We start from the raw sequence: 21509 nt of genomic DNA on the forward strand, positions 1-21509 counted from the left end.
TCAAGCGATTCTCCTGCCTTAGCCTCCCGAGTAGCTGGGATTACAGGCATGCGCCACCACGCTCAGCCAATTTTGTATTTTTATTAGAGACGGGGTTTCTCCATGTTGGTCAGGCTGGTCTCGAACTCCCGACCTCAGGTGATCTGCCTGCCTCGGCCTCCCAAAGTGCTGGGATTATAGTCATGAGTCACCGCACCCGGCCAACAATTATTTATTTATTTATTTTTCCGATGGAGTCTCACTCTGTCACCCAGGCTGGAGTGCAGTGGCATGATCTTGGCTCACTGCAACCTCCAACTCCTGGGTTCAAGCGATTCTCGTGCCTTAGCCTCCCGAGTAGCTGGGATTACAGGTGCGTGCCACCATGCCCGGCTAATTTTTGTATTTTTAATGGAGACAGGGTTTACACCATGTTGGCCAGGCTAGTCTTGAACTCCTGACCTCAAGTGATCCACCCACCTCGGCTTCTAAAAGTGCTGGGATTACAGGCATGAGCCACCATGCCCAGTCAGCTCAACAATAGCACACTGTTCTTTGTTCTCTTTTTCCATTCTGATGCTAGAGTTTGATAGTAGGGGAGGTTGTGGGGTGCAGCACGGAATATATGGGAACTCTCTGTACTTTCCACTTGATTTTACTGTGAACTTAAAATTGCTCTAAAAAATAAAGTCTATTTTTGGTAGAAACAGGGTTTCATCGTGTTGCCCAGGCTAGTCTCAAACTCCTGAGCTCATGCAATCTGCCCACTTCAGCCTTGCAAAGTGCTGGAATTATTAGGCATGGGCCACTGTGCCCAACCTGGAAATATATTAATGTAAGGTTTGTTTTTTTTTTGAGGGAGTCTCGCTCTATTGCCCAGGCTGGAGTGCAGTGGCATGATCTCGGCTCACTGTAATCTCCACCTCCCAGGTTCAAGCGATTCTCCTGCCCCAGCCTCCCGAGTAGCTGGGACTACAGGCATGCACCACCACACCTGGCCAATTTTTGTATTTTTAGTAGAGATGGGGTTTTGCCATGTTGGCCAGGCTGGTCTCGCACTCCTGACCTCAGATGATCTGCCTGCCTCAGCCTACCAGTGTGCTGAGATTACAGGCGTGAGCAACCGCACCTGGCCTATTAATGTAAGGCTGTTACACTCTCTGTGAAATAGTATAATATTTGAAGGTAGATGGAGATAGGTTAAAAATGTCTCTATAAACCTGTAAGCAACCACTAAAACAAGGAGGAATAGCTAATAACCCAATATAGGAGATATAATGGAATAAAAGTAATATTGACTAATCCAAAAGAAGTCAGAAAAAGAGAACAAAGAGATGGGACGAATAAAAACAAGATGATAGACCCAAATCTAATTATATTAACAATCATTAAACTTAGATGTTCTTAACACCCTAATTACAGGGTAGAGATGATCAGATTGGGTAGAAAAGCAAGATTTGCCAGGTGCAGTGGTTCACACCTATAATTTCAGCACTTTGGGAGCTGAAGGCAGGTGTATTGCTTGAGCCCAGGAGTTCAAGACCAGCCTGGGCAACACAGAGACCTGTCTCTGCAAAAAGTAAAACTAGACAGGTGGCTGGGCACGGTGGCTCACGCCTGTAATCCTAGCACTTTGGGAGGCCGAGAAGAGCAGATCACCTGAGGTCAGGAATTTGAGACCAACCTGGCCAACATGGCGAAGCCCCCTCTCTACTAAAAATACAAACATTAGCCAGGTGTGGTGGCGCGTGCCTGTAGTCTCAGCTACTTAGGAGGCTGAGGCAGGAGAATCGCTTGAACCCGGGAGGTGGAGGTTGCAGTGAGCCGAGATTGCACCACTGCACTCCAGCCTGGATAACAGAGCGAGACTCTGTCTCAACAAAACAAAACAAAACATAACAAAACAAAACAGCAAAGACACAGGCCGCATGCATAATTCTAACACTTTGGGAGGCTGAGGTGGGCAGATCACTTGAGCCCAAGAGTTCGAGACCAGCCTGGGCAACATGGTGAAACCCTGTCTCTACAAAAAATACAAAAATTAGCTGGGCATGGTGGTGCTCGCCTGTAGTGGAGAGGCTGTGGTGGGAGGATCACCTGAGCCCAGGAGGTGGAGGCTGGGGTGAGCTGTGGTCATATCACTGCACTCCAGCCTAGGGACAGAGTGAGATTCTGTCTCAAAAAATAAATGAATAAAGAAATAAAATTAATTAAAAATTTTAAATTTATTTTAAAATTATAAAAACAATAAATAAAAATTAAAAATGTAATATACCAAAAACCACTGAATTGTAAATTTTAAATGGTGTATGAATTTATATCTCAGTAAAGCTGTACGATTCCATTTATATAAAACTCTTGGAAATTCAAACTAATGTACACTGATAGAAAGGAACTGTAATTCTCGCACTACCTCATTGTCTTTTTTTTTTTTTAAGATTATATTTGTTTTGGAGACTGGGCTCTCGCGATGTTGCCTAGGCTGGACTTGAACTCCTGGGCTCAAGCGATCCTCTCCCACTCAGCCTCCAGAGTAGCTGGGACTACAGGCGGGCACCACCACACTCGGTTTGTGTTTTTGTTTATCTTTTTAAGAATTATTTTATTAAAAAAAATTATTTTTTGGTTTGTTTGTTGAGACAGAGTTTCGTTCTTGTTGCCCAAGCTGGAGCGCAATGGTGCGATTTTGGCTCATTGCAAGTTCAAGTGATTCGCGTGCCTCAGTCTCCTGAGTAGCTGGGATTACAGGCATGCACCGCCACGCCTGGCTAATTTTGTATTTTTAGTACAGATGGGGTTTCACCATGTTGGTCAGGCTGGTCTCGAACTCCTGACCTCAGGTCATCGCACCTCTGTCTCCCAAAGTGTTGGGATTACAGGCGTGAGCCACCGCACCTGGCCTTTTTTTTTTTTTTTTTTTTTGAGATGGAGTTTTGCTCTTGTCACCCAGGCTGGAGTGCAATGGCATGATCTTGGCTCACTGCAACCTCGGCCTCCCGAGTTCAAGCGATTCTCCTGCCTCAGCCTCCCGAGCAGCTGGGATTATAGGCGCATGCCACTATACCCGGCTAATTTTTGTATTTTTAGTAGAGATGGGGTTTCATCATGTTGGTCAGGCTGGTCTCGAACTCCTGACCTCAGTTGATCCCCTCCCCCTCCCCCCATCGCCACCTCGGCCTCCCAAAGTGCTGAGATTACAGGCGTGAGCCATCGCGCCCACCCAAATTTTTTTTTTTTACCTCATTGTCTTTACTTACTTTTTTTTTTTCTCTCAAATACTTTCTCATGTCCGTGTCTCTTTAAGTTCATATTAGTCCAAAGGAGAAAATAGGACTTGGGGATCTGGGGAACACGGGGTGGTCTCACTTTGCCAAGGGAAAGATGAGGTTTGGGGGTTCCTGGGCTGAGTAACTCGTACTGAGGTCGCGATCTAAGTAGTCCTCGATTACCTGAAGATGTAGTGTAGAAGCCTGTGACTTACAGTGAGGCTGGCCCTAGAACTTCACTTCCCAGGAGGTTTCAGGCATCGAGTGGAGACTGTGTCCGACAGCGGAGTGGGACTTGGTCGCAGTTCGCAGAACCTGCCCAGCCCAACTCAAGACGCCCGGGAGGCTCTGGCGTTCGAATGGCTCTGGAGAACGATCGGATTGAGAACCCCCGAGCCAATCCCTAACTGCGATCTTCTCTCTCCGAGTCTCCCTATCCCCCAGGAGCTTGTTTTAGAGACGGTTGTCTTATGAGCCACTCCCTGGATGGAAGGGATTTGAGGATGGGGTGAGGTGTGTGTACGTCAGGGAGACTGAGCCAGCTTTCCTGTATGTGAATCTGATGGAGGGTACCTCTCTGTCCCAGCCTCACACGTCCATGTGAAGCCCCGGAATCAACTACCCTTGGTGGAGAAGGATGTGTGTGAAGTGTCAAACGGGCTTGTGGTGTAAGTTGATGGATCACTAGGCTTGCCTGTCCTTCATTTAAATTTCCAAGTGCAAGATAGTCTCCTCTGGCTCAGGGCTGGGGAGGGTTCAAGTGGCTTGCTTCATCTCGGAGTGTCCTAGAGTCTCTTTTAACCTGTCTTGAACCAAATAAGTCAGTCTCCCCTGATTCAGTAGATAAACTAAGTTGCAGAAAGTAGAGTAGATTAAAAATGGGGTCTTCTATTGAATTATTTGGGTTTCAGAAAGTTAGAGCCATTCAAGTGGATGTAAACTCAGACTTGTGGGAAGACGGTTGACACATGGAGAATGTGTTAGGAACAGTACCACTTTGAGCTGGACTCTTGTCTTGACTGTTGTTAGGACTTTCATATTGTGTGTCTAGCCCAGGAGACAGTTGACTGCCAGGCAGACTGTACCTGTGGAGAAGGATGCTTTAGGACAAGCTTGTCCAACCCGTGGCCCAACACAAATTTGTAAACTCTCTTAAAACAATATTTTTTTTGCAATTTTTTGTTTTTTTTAGCACATCAGAATCGTTAGTGTATTTTATGTTTGGCCCAAGACAATTCTTTTTCTTCCAATGTGCAGGAAAGCCAAAAGATATGGACACCACTGCTTTAGTAGATGAGGTTGGAAGACTTTTAAGACATTGTAATACCAGGGTTAGGAGTGAATGACTCACTCAGGGGCCTTCTGGGGTGCTGTCTCGACAGCTCCAGGCCTCTCCCAGTTTCCAATCCTTTAAGCATACCTAAAGATCTCTGATTTATTTGTTTGATTTATTTATTTATTTATTTATTTATTTATTTATTTATTTATTTCAGACAGGGTCTGGCTCTGTCACTCAGGTTGGAGTGTTGGCCAGGCTGGTCTTGAACTCCTGACTTCAAGTGATCTGCCCTCCTCAGCTTCCCAAACTGCTGGGATTACAGGCGTGAGCCACCGTGCCCGGCCTGTCCCTAAGAGTTTTACTCTGGTTCAGCAACTGCCTAAGTTGCACTGTTGTTCTGGAAGCAGTCACTTTGAGCAGAGGTGTTGGACACTGGATGATACCTAGAGGAAGCTGGGAAAATGAGTTGCACAGACAGTAATTGTTGTAGGAATTCAGAGGGGAAATACATTTATCCAGATCAGGAAAGTCAAAGAAGGCTATTCTCGAGGAAGGTGGTGATGACTGTGCCCCTCTTCTATCGACCTTGTGTGTTTGATCCTTATGCCTATTCCTAGATGGAAAAAGAACCGGCTGATGGTCAGTGAATACCCTGGGGTGGTTTCCTACCAGAGTTAAATTATGCTCTGGACTTATTTTAGCTGTGGAACCTGTGCTAAAGAAGACTTCTAGGTGGGAGGCCTCGCCACTCAGAATTGGCTCTGTGTGGGCAGAGAGCAACCCCTAGTGGGCTTGTGGAAAGCATACTCTGAAAGCCACGTTTCTTCTTTTTCTTTTTGAGACAGGGTCTCCATCTGTCATCCAGGCTGGAGTCCAATGGTGTGATCATAGCTCACTGCAGCCTCGATCTCCCAGGCTCAAGCAATCCTCCCACCTCAGCATCCCAAGTAGCTGGGACTACAGGTACGTGCCACCACGCCTGGCTAATTTTTTTTTATTTTTAGTGAGACAAAGTCTCACTATATTGCCCAGGCTGGCCTCAAACTTCTGAGCTCAAGGAATCCTCCCACCTCAGCCTCCCAAAATGCTGGGATTACAGGCATGAGCCACACACCCGGCTCACTTTTCTTTATTCTGACCAAAATGAGGTGTTGTGTTTGTTTTTGCCTATGATATGGGCCTAATGTAGACCTTAGCTAATGAGACAACAGAATGGGGGATGTCTCTATTTCCCCAAATCCTCAAGGTGAGAAATAAATTGATTCTCAATTTTTTTTCTGTAACCAAATATATATGATTATTTAATGCCCTTTCCTCTGTGCTCTGACACTTAAAGAAGTCACTGCTATAAGAATTAGGTCTGAAATTAGGGCAGTAGTTAAGAACCTACAGAAAGTAGAGTACTTCGGGACCTAAATTGAGGGCAAGGCATTGATGGGGTATTAATATGGGGGTATAAATATAGGAACTCATAATAAACAAGCTTCTTGGAGATCATCTCTGCCATATCATTTACTGTGAAATACTGATTCATGAAGAAATGGATGAGTATGGTGGCATTAAGACCTGTAGTTTTACTCACATAAGGTTGAAGGGGATGAGACTCCTGGTTTATCTAGCATTGTAACCATATTACAGAATTTTTGCCTTCTCCAGTAGTAGAATAGTAGAATTATTAAGAAGACATAGTAGCTTCTAACACTTAATGAGTACTGGCTATGTGAGAGAGACTAATAAGTACTACGCATGCCTTCTTTCATTTAACCCTCAGGTTAAAAATTTTCTCTGGCTGGGTGCGGTGGCTCATGCCTGTGATCCCAGCACTTTGAGAGGCAGAGGCGGGTGGATCACTTGAGGCTAGGAGTTCAAGACCAGCCTGGTCAACATGGTGAAACCCTGTCTCTACTAAAAATGCAAAAATTAGCTGGGCGTGGTGGCACATGCCTATAATTCCAGCTACTCGGGAGGCTGAGGCACAAAAATCGTTTGAACCCAGGAGGCAGAGGCTGCAGTAAGCTGAGATGCACCCCTGCACTCTAGCCCGGGTGACAGAGCAAGACTCTGCCAAAAAAAAAAAAAAAAAAAAAAAAAAAACGACAAAACTTTCCCAAGTTCACAAAGATTAGAGGGAGAACTGGGTTTTGCCTCCTGACTTCAGAGCCCAGACTCTTAACCATTTCTTTTTTCTTTCTTTCTTTTTTTTTGAGACAAGAGTCTTGCTCTGTCACCCAGGCTGGAATGCAATGGTGTGACCTTGGCTCAATGCAACCTCTGCCTCCTGGGCTCAAGCAATTCTCCTGCCTCAGCCTCCTGAGTAGCTGGAATTACAGGTATGTGCCACCGCGTATGGCTAATTTTTGTATTTTTAGTAGAGATGGGGTTTTGCCATGTTGGCCAGGCCGGCCTCGAACTCCTGACCTCAGGTGATCTGCCCGCCTCCGCCTCCTAAAGTGCTGGGAATACAGGCGTGAGCCACCGCGCCTAGCCCTCTTAACCATTTCTCTAGCTGAGTGTGACTTGTCTGCCTTTCTCTCCAGTATTGTGATGTCTCTGTTTTTCAGGAATGGAGGTTCCTCTGCTGGCTCTATAGCCAGAGACCCAAAGTGACAGCCATGTTTCTTGATTCAACCCTGGAAACCTTCTATGATAATTTTTAAAAATTACTAACCATTTATTGAGCACCTACAATATTTTAGTACCTTTGATACAGTAGATCCAGACCTTATGATAACGGTGTAACACAAATACCTATGTGGATGAATGGTTTTTAATCTTTTTGAGCTCACCCAAAGATTAAAAAGCCTTCTGTGAGATACTGGTGACAGCTCTGGACCTTCTTTCCAGAAAAATTCACTTATGCACATATACATAGTATTGTACACAACTTCAGAAGAGGCTTCTAGGACCTACCGAAGCCCATCCTCTAGTAGTCCACAGACTCCAGGGTAAGAACTCTTGACTTATACAACCCTTTGTAGCTGACTCTTGTATGGCATTAAGGGTATAGAGAGTGTGGGGGGCATCTTATCTTCCTCATCTTCTCCTCAGAGAGAAATGTTTAGAATAGCTCCCTACATTAACCAAGCATCTCTGAATATTCTTTCTGTCTCTCTTGTACATAGGACTACAAGGGAAGAATGCAGACAATCAAATGTGTGGTTGTAGGAGATGAGGCTATAGGTAAAACCTGCCTCCTCATCAGTTATACAACAAATGTCTTTCCTGAGGAGTATATCCCCCCACTGTCTTTGACAACTATAGCGTCCAGACATCCGTGGATGGGCAAATCATTAGCCTGAACACGTGGGACACTGCTGGCCAAGAGGAGTATGATGACTGCGAACACTCTCCTAACCCCAGACCAGTATCTTTGTTATTTGTTTTTCCACTGGGAACCCATCCTCTTATGCCAATGTGAGGCATAAGTGGCACCCAGAGGTCTCCCATCATTGCCCCAATGTGCCTGTTCTGCTGGTAGGCACCAAGAGGGACCTGTGGAGTAACCTTGAGACAGTGAAGAAGCTGAAGGAGCAGAGCCTAGTACCCACGACTCCCCAGCAAGGCACTTCCCTGGCTAAGCAGTTGGGGGCTGTGAAGTATCTGGAATATTCGGCCCTGATGCAGGATGGGGTGCATGAGGTATTTTTAGAAGCTGTCCGGGCTGTGCTTTACCCTGCTACAAAGAACACCAAGAAGTACATCCTCTTATAGCTTCTAGGTGCTACTTGGGGACTGCAACTAAGAAGTATAAGGGTGATATTCCTTTGTCAGCAGTTAAAGAGTGCCAGCATGGGCTATTGCAGAAACCCTAGACTGCAGGATATTCAGCTCTTGGAGGAACAAAGACAGACTTGTTTGTACATGGCTGCTTTGAAGTTTGGTCTGACCTTTTGGAGGAAGGTGTGTGTGTGTGTGTGTGTGTGTGTGTGTGTGTGTGTGTGTGTGTGTGTGTGTGTGTGTCTCCCTTGTCAAAGTGGTAAGAGGAGGTGCCACTCAGTGCTGTTCTTTTCTCTCCTGGCCAGGCAATGACTAAGCAGAGCAGCTTAGGACTGTTCATTGTAGACTTTTGCTTGTCTGCTTTTAAATCTAATTGGAGCTTTCCTTGCTATATTTACCACTGAGCAAGTGCCTCATGGAAGGACAAGTTTATCCGGTTTTATTTATTATTATTATTATTGTTATTATTATTTTTTTGAGATGGAGTTTCTTTCTTGTCACCCAGGCTGGAGTGCAATGACGCCATCTCGGCTCACTGCAACCTCCACCTCCCAGGTTCAAGCGATTTTCCTGCCTCAGTCTCCTGAGTAGCTGGGATTACAGGCGCCCGCCACCATGCCCGGCTAATTCTTTTGTATTTTTAGTAGAGACAGGGTTTCACCATGTTGGCCAGGCTGGTCTTGAACTCCTGACCTCAGGTGATCCACCCACCTCAGCCTCCCAAAGTGCTGGGATTACAGGTGTAAGCCACCGTGCCCAGCTTATTTTTACTATTTTTTTGAGAGAGAATCTCACTCTGTCACCCAGGCTGGAGTGCAGTGGCACGATCTTGGCTGACTGCAACCTCCGCCTCCTAAGTTTCAAGCAATTCTCCTGCCTCCTGCCTCAGCCTCCTGAGTATCTGGGACCATAGGCACGCACTACCACACCTGGCTAATTTTTGTATTTTTAGTAGAGACGGAGTCTCACCATGTTGGCCAGGCTGGTCTCAAATTCCTGACCTCAGGTGATCCGCCTGCCTCTGCCTCCCAAAGTGCTGGGATTATAGGTGTGAGCCACCATGCCCGGCCGGTTATCCAGTTTTTAAATCTCATTGCTTTAAACTTTCTCATATATGAATTTTTTTTTTCGGTTATTGAGACAGAGTCTCGCTTTGTCATCCATGGAGGCTGGACTGCAGTGGCAGTGGCATGAACATGGCTCACTGCCATCTTGACCTCCCAGGCTCAAGGGATCCTCTTGCCTCAGCCCCCCAAGTAGCTGGGACCATGAGTGCGTGTCACCATGTCTGGTTAATTTTTGTATTTTTGTAGAGATGGTGTTTCACCATGTTGCCCAGGCTGGTCTTGAACTCCTGAGCTCAAGTGATCCTCCCATCTTGGCCTCCCAAAGTACTGGGATTACAGGTGTGAGCTACCGTGCCTGGCCGACTAATTTTTGAAAACCATATTATGGGCCAGGTGCAGTGGCTCACGCAGGTAATCCCAGCACTTTGGGAGGCCAAGGCAGGCAGATCACGAGGTCAGGAGATCGAGACCATCCTAATACGGTGAAACCCCGTCTCTACTGAAAATACAAAAAAAATTAGCTGGGCGTGGTGGCGGGTGCCTGTAGTCCCAGCTACTCCAGAGGCTGAGGCAGGAGAATGGCGTGAGCCTGGGAGGCGGAGCTTGCAGTGAGCTGAGATAGCGCCACTGCACTCCAGCCTGGGCAACAGAGTGACACTCTGTGTCAAAAAAATAAATAAATAAATAAATAAATAAATAAAACCATATTATGTGTAATTCCTGGGTGTTCCCAGTGTTGACATGTTTCTCCCATTCTTGAGATGAGACATGTTCACAAAAATGGTTTAGGAGCATTTTTTAAAGTTCTGTGAGTTGGTAATAGATGTTCCTTATAAGAGTTCTGTGAGAAGAACAGAACTCTGTTCTTCCTACTGGGGATTAAAAAAAAAAAAAAAGGAAAAAACGGTTCTGTCATCAAATAAGCTCAAGAACCAGCAATTTAAAATAGTGCTGAGCGCGGTTGCTCATGCCTATAATCCCAGCACTTCGAGATGCCAAAGCGTGTGGATGGCTTGAGCTCAGGAGTTTTAGACCAACCTGGGCAACATGGCGAAACTGTCTCTACAAAATATGTGAATATTAGCCAGGTGTGGTGGTGTGCGCCTGTAGTCCCAGCTACTGGAGGGGCTGAGGTGGGAGGATCACTTGATCCCGGGAGGTTGAGGCTGCTGTGAGCTGGGTTTGTACCACTGTACTCCAGCCTGGGTGACAAAGAGAGGCTCTATCTCAAAAATAAACAAATAAATAAATAAAACTGAACAGGTTCTTTAATGGCAAGATTTTATAACTTAATATGATGTATGTAACATTTCTCAAACTTATTTCACCACTGAATTTTTTTGTTGGTCCCATGCAACACCTATTAATATGTTTGGTGACAATATTTCTTTTTTTTTTTTTTGAGATGGAGTCTCGCTCTGTCGCCCAGGCTGGAGTGCAGTGGCGTGATCTCGGCTCACTGCAACCTCCGCCTCCCGGGTTCAAGCAATTCTCTGCCTCAGACTCCTAAGTAGCTGGGATTACAGGCACCCACCACTGCGCCGGGCTACTTTTTGTATTTTTAGTAGAAACAGGGTTTCACCACCTTGGCTAGGCTGGTCTTGAACTCATGACCTTGTGATCCACCCGCCTCAGCCTCCCAAAGTGCTGGGATTACAGGCGTGAGCCACTGCACCTGGCTGATACCATTTCAAAGAATGGGTTAATGGGAACTAGGAATTTCCAAGGAAGAGGCTGTAAAACCAAAAAGCATAATGTAGTCTTGTTCTTTTTGATGCTTTCCTCTTCATGCCTTTGAGACAAATGTTTATCAGCATGATCTTGTTATTTGTTCCTCTGCTTCGGGAGATGGGTCTGGCACTTAGTCATGATAGTAGTGCATTGGAGGTGGGATCTGACAGTGAGATCTGCTATCACATCCTGATAACACTATGGGCCTTGTGATGTGGAATTACCAATCCCTCTGAAAAAAAGCTTGTGTCTAAGTCTTCCGTGTGGCCCCTCTGTCACTTTCAGCTTTAAGGATAGACCACTCAAGGTTAACCCACAACAGGGTGCAGTGGCTCACTCCTGTAATCCCAGCTACTCACGAGGCTGAGGCAGGAGGATCGCTTGAGGCCAGGAGTTTCAGAGCAGCCTGGGCAACATAGGGAGACCCCCATCTCTATTAAACATTAAAAGAAAAAGGAGAAAAAAATAAGTTAACCCCCTAAATAAAACTAACAAATAAAATACTGTCCTGCCAGTCATTGTTGGAGTTCTGTACTTTTTCTGAGACTTCTCTTCTGCCCTTGTGTCTGGGTTTAGCTGTTCTGAGTCTACACAGGCTGCCTTGCTTGCTTCCTGTCCTTCCCTGCTTGGAACATCTCCCTGTGTGTTTATTCAGCTCTGTGTGTCTTTTGAGGTCTTTTAGTTGCTCCAAGAGAGTTTTAGCATGTTTGATCCATATCTTTTTTTTTCTTTTTTGAGACGGAGTCTCACTTTGTCACCCAGACTGGAGTGCAGTGGTGCTATCTCAGCTCACTGCAACCTCCACCTCCTGGGCTCAAGCGATTTTCCTGCCTCAGCCTCCCAAGTAGCCAGGGTTACAGGCGCCCGCCACCACACTCAGCTAATTTTTGTATTTTCAGTAGAGACAGCGTTTCACCATGTTGGCCAGGCTGGTCTCGAACTCCTGACCCCTGGTGATCCACCCGCCTGTGCTTCCCAAAGTGCTGGGATTACAGGTGTGAGCCACCGAGTCTGGCCCAGATCTATATCTCTAGCCACTGAGGTCGTTCCCCTTGTGGTTATAAAGCAGTTCAAGTTTTGCTGGAGTTGCTAAGCTTGCTCCAGGGCAATAAGAGTCAGATTTCGACTGGGCGCGGTGGCTCACGCCTGTAATCCCAGCACTTTGGGAGGCCGAGGCGGGTGGATCACGAGGTCAAGAGATTGAGACCATCCTGGCTAACACGGTGAAACCCCGTCTCTACTAAAAATACAAAAAATTAGCCGGGCATGGTGGCGGGCGCCTGTAGTCCCAGCTACTCGGGAGGCAGAGGCAGGAGAATGGCGTGAACCCGGGAGGCGGAGCTTGCAGTAAGCAGAGATCAGGCCACTGCACTCCAGCCTGGGCGACAGAGCGAGACTCCATCTCAAAAAAAAAAAAGTCAGATTCCATGTCCTAGTGGGCCTGCTTCTCTTCCCTGCTTGTATTTTTGACCTTTTTCATTTGATCTGGAAGGAAAACTTACTTCTTCACCTAGCGCACAGTGGTTGATAACTCCACTGTGCACACATGCTCCCTGCCAAATAGCATTGGGTTTTTGAGAGTTTGGGAAATGAAGCTAAAGGATTGCCTGGTCCCCACCCCCTGCAGTGGGTAAGGTGTCTGTGCTTTGTTCTGTGGTAGCCTCCCTGTTGCTCTTTGACAAGGTTTGGTCAGCATAGCCTCCTGGATAGGGGTGACAGATAAAATACACGATGCCCTGTTAAATTTGAACCTCAAATAAACAGATAATTTTCTAGAATTTTTTTAAATCCCCAAACTGTATTTTTTTCAACAGAAATTTTTTAGTGTATATACCATGCAGTATTTGGAACATACACTAAAACATTATTGTTTATCTGAAATTCAAATTTAATGGGCCATCTTGTGTTTTTATTTGATACATCTGTCAAGCCTACTCTTGGAGAATCTGGAACCTGAAAGTCAAGCAGATATCAAGTATTGATAGAAGATAAAAGGTTACATAAGCTCCCTATTCTCTTTCCTTTTCTTCTGGTTTCCCTTTTCTCTCACCATGGGCTAAAGTGCATGGGCTAAAGTGGTTTTTTTTTTTTTTTTTTTTTTTTTTTTTTGCTTTTCTTTCATCACTGCACCCTTAACTTTGGATAGCTCTTCACTGTTGACACCATTGGTTGTCTAATGGCTGTGGAGAGTCCAGGTTGGGCATGTGAACCCTGACAATTTGAGACAAATCTCAGTTAATTTAGAAAGTTTTATTTTGCCAAGATTGAGGATGTGAGCCCATGACACAGCCTCTGGAAGTCCCGATGACATGTGCCCAAGGTGGTCAGAGCAGTTTCATTTTATACATTTTAGGGAGACATGAGACATCAGTTAACATATGTCAGATGAACATTGGTTCGGTCTGGAAAGGTGGGACAACTCCAAGCAGAGAGGGTGCTTTCAGGTCATAGGTAAATAAGAGACAAATGGTTGTATTCTTTTGAGTTTCTGATTAGCCTCTCCAAAGAAGGCAATCAGATATGCATTTATCTCAGTGAGCAGAGGGATAACTTTGAATAGAATGGGAGGCAGATTTGCTCTAAGCAGCTCCCAGTTTGACTTTTCCCTTTAGCTTAGTGATTTGGGGGACCCAAGATATTTTCCTTTCACATTTCCCTCCTTTTTATTTATTTAATTATTATTATTATTATTATTTTTTGAGACGGAGTCTCGCTCTGTTGCCCAGGCTGGAGTGCAGTGGCGTGATCTCTGCTCACTGCAAGCTCCTCCTCCCAGGTTCACGCTATTCTCCTGCCTCAGCCTCCCGAGTAGCTGGGACTATAGGCGCCCGCCACCACGCACAGCTAATTTTTTGTAGTTTTAGTAAAGATGGGGTTTCACCGTGTTAGCCAGGATGGTCTCAATCTCCTGACCTCGTGATCCGCCTGCCTTGGCCTCCTAAAGTGCTGGGATTACAGGTGTGAGCCACCACACCTGGCCCCTCCTTTTTATTTTTAAATTTTTTTTGGAGAAAGCACTTTAGAAGAAAATTAGTCTCTGGTTCCAGGTTTTGTCTGATCTCTCATGGCTAGGATGGTTTATTCCTAGACAGGTAGGTCCTGAGTTATTAGGAAAGCTAATTTTTATTATTTATGTATTAATATTTAAGACAGTCTCATTCTGTCACCCAGGTTGGAGTGCAGTGGTGCAATCTCAGCTCACTGCAACCTCTGCCTCCCGGGTTCAAGTGATTCTCCTGTCTCAGCCTCCCAAGTAGCTGGGATTACAGGTATGCGCCACCACACCCGGCTAATTTTTGTGTTTTTAGTAGAGACGGGGTCTCACCATGTTGTCCAGGCTGGTCTCGAACTCCTGACCTCAGGTGATCTGCCTGTCTGGATCTCCCAAAGTGCTGGGATTACAGGCATGAGCCACCGTGCCCGGCCAACACGCTTTCATAAGCAATGATACCAGCAATTTAGTCCATCCTGAAAGAACTGAGGGTCCTGAGAATTTAACCACGTTAAACGCAGTTTTTTTACATAATGAACTGAGGAAAGGCCGGGTATGATGGCTCATGCCTGTAATCCCAGCACTTTGGGAGGCCGAGGTGGGCTGGAGCTCAAGAGTTAGAGACCAGCCTGGGCAATATGGTGAAACCCTGTTTCTACAAAAAATACAAAAATTAGCTGGGCATTGTGGTGTGTGCCTGTAATCCCAGTAATTGGGAGGCTGAGGTGGGAGGATGGCTTGAGCCCCAGAGGCAGAGGTTGCAGTGAGCTGAGATTGGACCACTGCACTCCGGCCTGGGGGACAGGAGTCAGACCCTGTCTCAGGGCTGGGCGTGGTAGCCCGCACCTGTAATCCCAGCACTTTGGGAGGCTGAGGTGGGCGGATCACTTGAAGCCAGGAGTTCAAGACCAGCCTGGCCAACATGGCAAAACCCTGTCTCTACTAAAAAAAAAGAAAAATTTAAAAAATTAGCCGGGCATGGTGGTGTGTGCCTAGTCACAGCTACTCAGGAGGCTGAAGCAGGAGAATTGCTTGAACCCAGGAGGCAGAGGTTGCAGTGAGCCGAGATTGTGCCACTGCACTCCAGCCTAGGCAACAGAGCAAGACTCCATCTCAAAAACAAAAACAAAAAGAGCCAGACCCTGTCTCAAAAAAGAAAAGAAAAAAATAGATGGTCTGCGGCTGTCAGCTTCATCTTCAATATTGTCTTGTCTCTTCTTACAATGAGTTATCTATTTGTAAACCGCTTTCTTTTTGTTGTTGTTTTTTTCGAGACAGAGTCTCGCTCTGTCACCCAGGGTGGAGTGCAGTGGCGCAATCTTGACTCACTGCAACCTCTGCCTCCTGGGTTCAAGCGATTCTCTTGCCTCAGCCACCCAAGAAGCTGGGATTACAGGCCTGCGCCACCACGCCCGGATAATTTTTGTATTTTTAGTAGAAGCGGGGTTTCACCATGTTGGCCAGGCTGATCTCGAACTCCTGGCCTCAAGAAATTCACCCGCTTTGGCCTCCTAAAGTGATGGGATTACAGGCGTGAGCCACCTCACCCAGCCAACTGCTGATTTCTTTATGGCATTGTCCCCATAAACTTTTCATGAAGCACCAATGATTTCACCATTCTTTCATCCAAACTTGAACATAAATTTGATGTTCTTGCTTCAATTTTAGCAGAATTCATATTGCTCTGATAGGGGCTCTTTTCAAACTGATGTGTTATCCTTTTTAGTGCCTGCAACTAGATCCTGTTTAGACATTTTTTTTTTTTTTTTTTGAGACGGAGTCTCACTCTGTAGCCCAAGCTGGAGTGCAGTGGTGTGATCTCGGCTCACTGCAACTTCCGCCTCCTGGGCTCAAGCGATTCTCGTGCCTCAGCCTCAGGAGTAGCTGGGACTAAGGTATGTGCCACCATGCCCGGCTAATTTTTGTATTTTAGTAGAGACGGGGTTTCACCATGTTGCCCAGCTGGGTCTCGAACTCCTGAGCTCAGGTGATCCGCCTGCCTAGGCCTCCCAAAGTGCTGGGATTACAGGCATGAACCATTGCGCCCGGCCTCAGCAAATAATTATTAAGCTCCTACTATGTTACAAGCATTACCATACTAGGGGCTGCAGTTGTAAAGATAAGACATCATTTAACGTGCTTTGCCTCTTCCAGTCATCTTAGCAAAATATCCTTCTGTTTGTTATAAAAATTGACTAATTCTGGCTGGTAATTGTGTAGCGCTGGTGCACTTGTAAGGAAAGAACCATGTATTTGTATTCAAACCCAGCTTTATTGAGGTATAATTTACATAACATAAAATCCACCCATTTCAAGTGTACAATTTAATAATTTTTAATACATTTACTTAGTTGTGCAGCCATCCCCAAGATCCAGTTTTAGAACATTTCTATCACCCCAAAAAGATGCCTCATTCAGTAAATCCCTGTTCCCACCTCTAGCCCTAGACAAACTAGTCTACTTTCTTTTACAGATGTCTTCTCTGGGTATTTCATATAAATGAAATAATATGACATATGGTCTTTTGTAACTTACTTACTTCATTTTGGATGTTTTCAATGCACATTCATTTTGTAGCATGCATTAGTACTTCATTTCTTTCTTTTTTTTTTTTTAGAGATGGGGTCTAGCTGTGTTGCCCAGGCTGAAGTCCAGTGGCTTTTCACAGGCACAGTCATACCACACTGAATCTTGAACTCCTGAGATCAAGCAATCCTCCTGCCTCAGCTTCCAAAGTAGCTGGAATTACAAGTGCTGGCCACTCTGCCTGGTTACAATTCTTTTTATTGCTGAATAATATTCCATTATGTGGATATCCTATACTTTGCTTATCTATTCATCAGTTGATGGACATTTGGGTTGTTTCTACTGTTTGGCTATTATTAACACTGCTGTGAACATGTACAAAGTTTCGTGTGGACATATGTTTTAATTCTCGTGGGTAGAAAACTATGAGTGAAATTGTTGGGTCACAAGGTAAATTTATGTAAAACCATTTTTTAAAAATTTTTTTGAGATGGAGTCTCACTCTGTTGCCCAGGCTGAAGTGCGGTGGCATGATCTCCACTCACTGCAACCTCTGCCTCCCGGGTTCAAGCTATTCTCCTTCCCTAGCCTTCCAAGTAACTGGAATTACAGGCATGTGCCACCACGCCCAGCTAATTTTTTTGCATTTTTAGTAGAGATGGGGTTTCACCATGTTGGTCAGGCTGGTCTTGAACTCCTGACCTCCAGTGATCCACCTGCCTTGGCCTCCCAAAGTGCTGGGATTAAAGGCGTGAGCCACTGTGCCCGGCCTATTTTTAAAAACATTTCTTTTTGAGATAGAGTCTTGCTTTGTTGCCCAGGCTGGAGTGCAGTGGCGTGATCTCGGTTCACTGCCAACCGCGATTCTCTTGCCTTAGCCTCCCGAGTCGCTGGGATTACAGGCGCCCGCCACCGCATCCAGCTAATTTTTCTATTTTTAGTAGAGATGGGGTTTCACCATGTTGGCCAGGCTGGTCCCAACTCCTGACTTCAGGTGATCTGCCCACCTGGGCCTCCCAAAGTGCTGGGATTACAGAAGTGAGCCATCGTGCCCAGCCTATTTTTATTTTTTAAAAAATTTTTATTTTACTTTCTGGACAGAACAGTGTGAATATATAAAACCATGTTTTGAATCAAGAATGGTATCTTTAGGTTAGGTGTGGTGGCTCATGCCTGTAATCCCAACACTTTGGGAGGCCAAGGCGGGAGGACTGCTTGAGCTCAGGAGCCCACCCTGGGCTACATAATGAGACCCTGTCTCTACCAAAAAAAAAAAAGAATATTATGTTATCTTTTATATTTATAGGACCTGAAGTCTCCTTCCACATCCTACAAGCCTCTACCTCTCATTGAATCTGCTTTTTCTCAAGCACAAGCATCCAAGAGACAATATGTTGTACTAAATAACTTTTTTTGAGGCAGAGTCTCGCTCTGTTGCCCAGGCTGGAGTGTGGTGGTGCGATCTCAGTTCACTGCCAACCTCCATCTCTTGGGTTCAAGCGATTCTCTTGCCTCAGCCTCCCGAGTCGCTGGGATTACAGGCGCCCACCACCGCATCCGGCTAATTTTTGTATTTTCAGTAGAGACGAGGTTTCACCATGTTGGCTAGGCTGGTCTCAAACTCCTGACTTCAGGTGATCTGCCCGCCTGGACCTCCCAAAGTGCTGGGATTACAGGAGTGAGCCACCGTGCCCAGCCTATTTTTATTTTTTAAAAACTTTTTATTTTACTGTTTGGACCGAACAATGTGAATATATGAAACCATGTTTTGAATCAAGAATGGTATCTTTCGGCTGGGAGCAGGCTGGGAGATAAAAAAAAAAGAATTGTATCTTTAGGTTAGGTGTGGTGGCTCATACCTGTAATCCCAACACTTTGGGAGGCCAAGGCGGGAGGATTGCTTGGGCTCAGGAGTTCAAGACCACCCTGGGCTACAATAGTGAGACCCTGTCTCTACAAAAAAAAAAAAGTTATCTTTTATATTTATAGGACCTGAAGTCTCCTTCCACATCCTACAAGCCTCTACCTTTATTCAGTCTGCTTTTCCTCAAGCACAAGCATCCAAGAGACAATATCGTACTAAATAACTTTTTTTTTTTTTTTTTTGAGACAGAGTCTCGCTCTGTTGCCCAGGCTGGAGTACAGTAGCGCGATCTCGGCTCACTGCAACCTCCACCTCCCGGGTTCAAGCGATTCTCCAGCCTCAGCCTCCCAAGTAGCTGGGGCTACAGATGTGCGCCACCGTGTTGGCTAATTTTTTTGTATTTTTAGTAAAGATACGGTTTCACCATGTTGGCCAGCTTGGTCTCAAACTCCTGACCTCAGGTGATCTGTCCGCCTCGGCCTCCCAAAGTGCTGGGATTACAGCCGTGAGCCACTGTGCGCGCTGCTACGTAACTATCATAAACTACATTAAAAAGCATTCCAAGCTGGGCGCGGTGGCTCACGCCTGTAATCCCAGCACTTTGGGAGGCCAAGGCGGGTGGATCACCTGAGGTCAGGAGTTTGAGACCAGCCTGGTTAACACGGTGAAACCCCGTGTCTACTAAAAATACAAAAATTCGGGTGTGGTGGTATGCTCCTATAGTCCCAGCTACTCAAGAGGCTGAGACTGGAGAATCGCTTGAACCCGGGAGAAGGAGGTCGGCAGTGCACTCCACCCTGGGCAACAGAGTGAGACTTTCTCAAAAAAAAAATAAGAAAAAGAAAGAAAGATCATCCTTTCGCATTCTCCCAATATAACTGATTTAGGCAAGGGACATCAATGAATGCTAAAACCACATTGGGTGCAAGGTCAATGGGGAAAAGAATATTCACAATTTATTCTGCAGAAGGATGGGCTCAGTACCAAAAGACTGAAAAAAAAAAAAGAATATTCACACAATCTCTAAGTACCTGTGGATTACTTAGTAATTACACAGGGTTGTACCTTTGTGATGGAGCAATCTGGTGGTGACTACTTTATCAAGGTGATGAAATTTAGCATCACCAATACTAGGACAACACTGTATTTGACAGTGTACCTTCTGATGGCTGATAAAATATTTAACCTGGGCCGGGCGCGGAGGCTCACTCCTGTAATTTCCAGCACTTGAGGCGGGCGGATCACGAGGTCAGGAGTTTGAGATCAGTGTGGCCAATATGGTGAAACCCCGGCTCTACTAATCATACAAAAATTAGCCAGGGGTGGTGGCGCCGAGATCGCACCACAGCACTTTATCCTGGGAGACAGAGCAAGAGACTCCGTCTCAAAAAAAGAAAAAAAAAAAAAGGCCGGGCGTGTGGTGGCTCACGCCTGTAATCCCAGCATTTTGGGAGGCCGAGGTGGGCGGATCACGAGGTCAGGAAATCAAGACCATCCTGGCTAACACAGTGAAACCCCGTCTCCACCAAAAATACAAAAATTAGCCGGGCTTGGTGGCGGGCGCCTGTAGTCCCAGATACTTGGGAGGCTGAAGCAGGAGAATGGTGTGAACCCAGGAGGTGGAGCTTGCAATGAGCCGAGATAGCACCACTGCACTCCACCCTGGGCAACAGAGCGAGACTACGTCTCAAAAAAAAAAAGGAAACAAGAGAAATTCGGATCATGGAATGTTTTCAAGACAACTTGCCTGGATTCTTCCAAATATTTAGTGTCATGAAAAACAAACAAGAAGGCAGGTGATTCTGGACTAAAGGAAGATGACCAAATACAATGCATGAAACGTGAATGGATCCTAGTATTGGAAAAAAGGGAGAATGAGGAAGAGTGCTATGATGTGGTAAAGAAATTATTTCAGTCTATATTATCATAATATGTGAAAAAAGCAAGGTGAAAGCCGGGGTGTTGGCTCATGGCTGCAATCCCAGCACTTTGGGAGGCTGAAACGGGCAGATTGCTTGAGCCCAGGAGTCTGAGACCAGCCTGTGCAACATGACGAAACCCCGTAAAATGTTCCAACTAGGACAACTGGGGAAATTTAAGTGCGGACTCTTCCTTAAATAATATTGACTTACTTCCTAAAGTTGTGATAAAGGTACTTTGGTTCCATAGTTAAGATGCTTATTTTTAGGAGTGAAGAACAAGATGCCCATAAATGGTTTAGAAAAACAAAAATCCTAGCAAAATGTTAACCATTGTGAGTCTAGGTGAGGGGTCAGCTGTTCATTTTACTAAACTTTCACATTTTCCGAAATAAAACGTTGGGGGAACAAGTATTTTTTTTGAGGCGGGCTGGAGTGCAGTGGCCCGATCACAGGTCACTGCAGACTCCAACTCCTGGCTCCCACCTCAGACCCCCCAACAGCTGGGACTACAGGCACTGGCCACCACATCTGGCTAATTTTTTTGATTTTGTGTATGGATGGAGTCTCGCTTTCTTGTCCAGGCTGGCCTCATACTCGTGGGCTCAAGCGATCCTCCCACCTCGGCCTCTCAAAGTGCTGGAATTACAGGCGTAAGCCACCGCGTCCGGTCAAAAAATCAATTTCTAGGGAAAAATGTCAACTCAAAACAAGTAACCTGCATAGCTCGGGAATGCCTGTATAATTTACGTCAAGTCTCTCCTTGGGACGGACCGGTGAAATTGCACGCAGCACAAAGACCGGCTCTTACCCTTACTTCCGGGTATTGTGGTACAGGAACCCGAGGTTGCCTGCGCGTAAGCCACGTGACTCGAGCAGCTCCTTCTGATTGGAGGAAGAGCCACTGCTCTAATTCGGTGCCGTGAGAAAGCTCGCGCGCGGAGCAGTGGGAGCGGGCGGGACTGAATATTTTCTTTGACCAACCGCTTTCCACATATCCATCCTCCTGATCCCGTAGCGTCGAATCAAAAGCCGTTAGTAAAGTAGTTACTTCTTTCTCTTAGGATAGCCGGTCTTTCCGGGTTTTCCCCCCCTTCCCCCTCCCCTCTCCCCACTTCCCCCTCCCTTTCCCCTCTGTTTTGAGCTTCCGGTAGAGGCTGGTAGGGTAA

General features: G+C 45.9%; 1 long non-coding RNA gene and 1 pseudogene across 1 annotated transcript, besides 3 other annotated features; both read left to right on the plus strand.

Moving 5' to 3' along the window:
* Positions 1 to 3207: 3207 nt before the first annotated feature.
* LOC124905198 (uncharacterized) lies at positions 3208 to 17077 on the plus strand. Its single transcript, XR_007068263.1, has 3 exons — positions 3208 to 3913; positions 5370 to 5487; positions 16649 to 17077. It is a non-coding gene; the product is annotated as an uncharacterized LOC124905198 (long non-coding RNA).
* On the plus strand, positions 7662 to 8208 carry RHOG2P (RHOG family member 2, pseudogene; annotated as a pseudogene).
* Positions 20365 to 20934: an enhancer, noted in NCBI's record as "H3K27ac hESC enhancer chrX:70584971-70585540 (GRCh37/hg19 assembly coordinates)". NCBI's record gives its function as "activates a minimal SCP1, AML or CMV promoter by ChIP-STARR-seq in primed H9 embryonic stem cells {active_cell/tissue: H9 hESC(primed)}" and the evidence as "EXISTENCE:reporter gene assay evidence [ECO:0000049][PMID:30033119]".
* Positions 21103 to 21152: an enhancer, noted in NCBI's record as "active region_29742". NCBI's record gives its function as "activates an Ori minimal core promoter by ATAC-STARR-seq in GM12878 lymphoblastoid cells {active_cell/tissue: GM12878}" and the evidence as "EXISTENCE:reporter gene assay evidence [ECO:0000049][PMID:35858748]".
* Positions 21293 to 21482: a silencer, noted in NCBI's record as "silent region_20897". NCBI's record gives its function as "represses an Ori minimal core promoter by ATAC-STARR-seq in GM12878 lymphoblastoid cells {active_cell/tissue: GM12878}" and the evidence as "EXISTENCE:reporter gene assay evidence [ECO:0000049][PMID:35858748]".

This window comes from Homo sapiens, chromosome X, assembly GCF_000001405.40.
Source record: "Homo sapiens chromosome X, GRCh38.p14 Primary Assembly".
In the NCBI taxonomy this organism is placed as follows: Eukaryota; Metazoa; Chordata; class Mammalia; order Primates; family Hominidae; genus Homo; species Homo sapiens.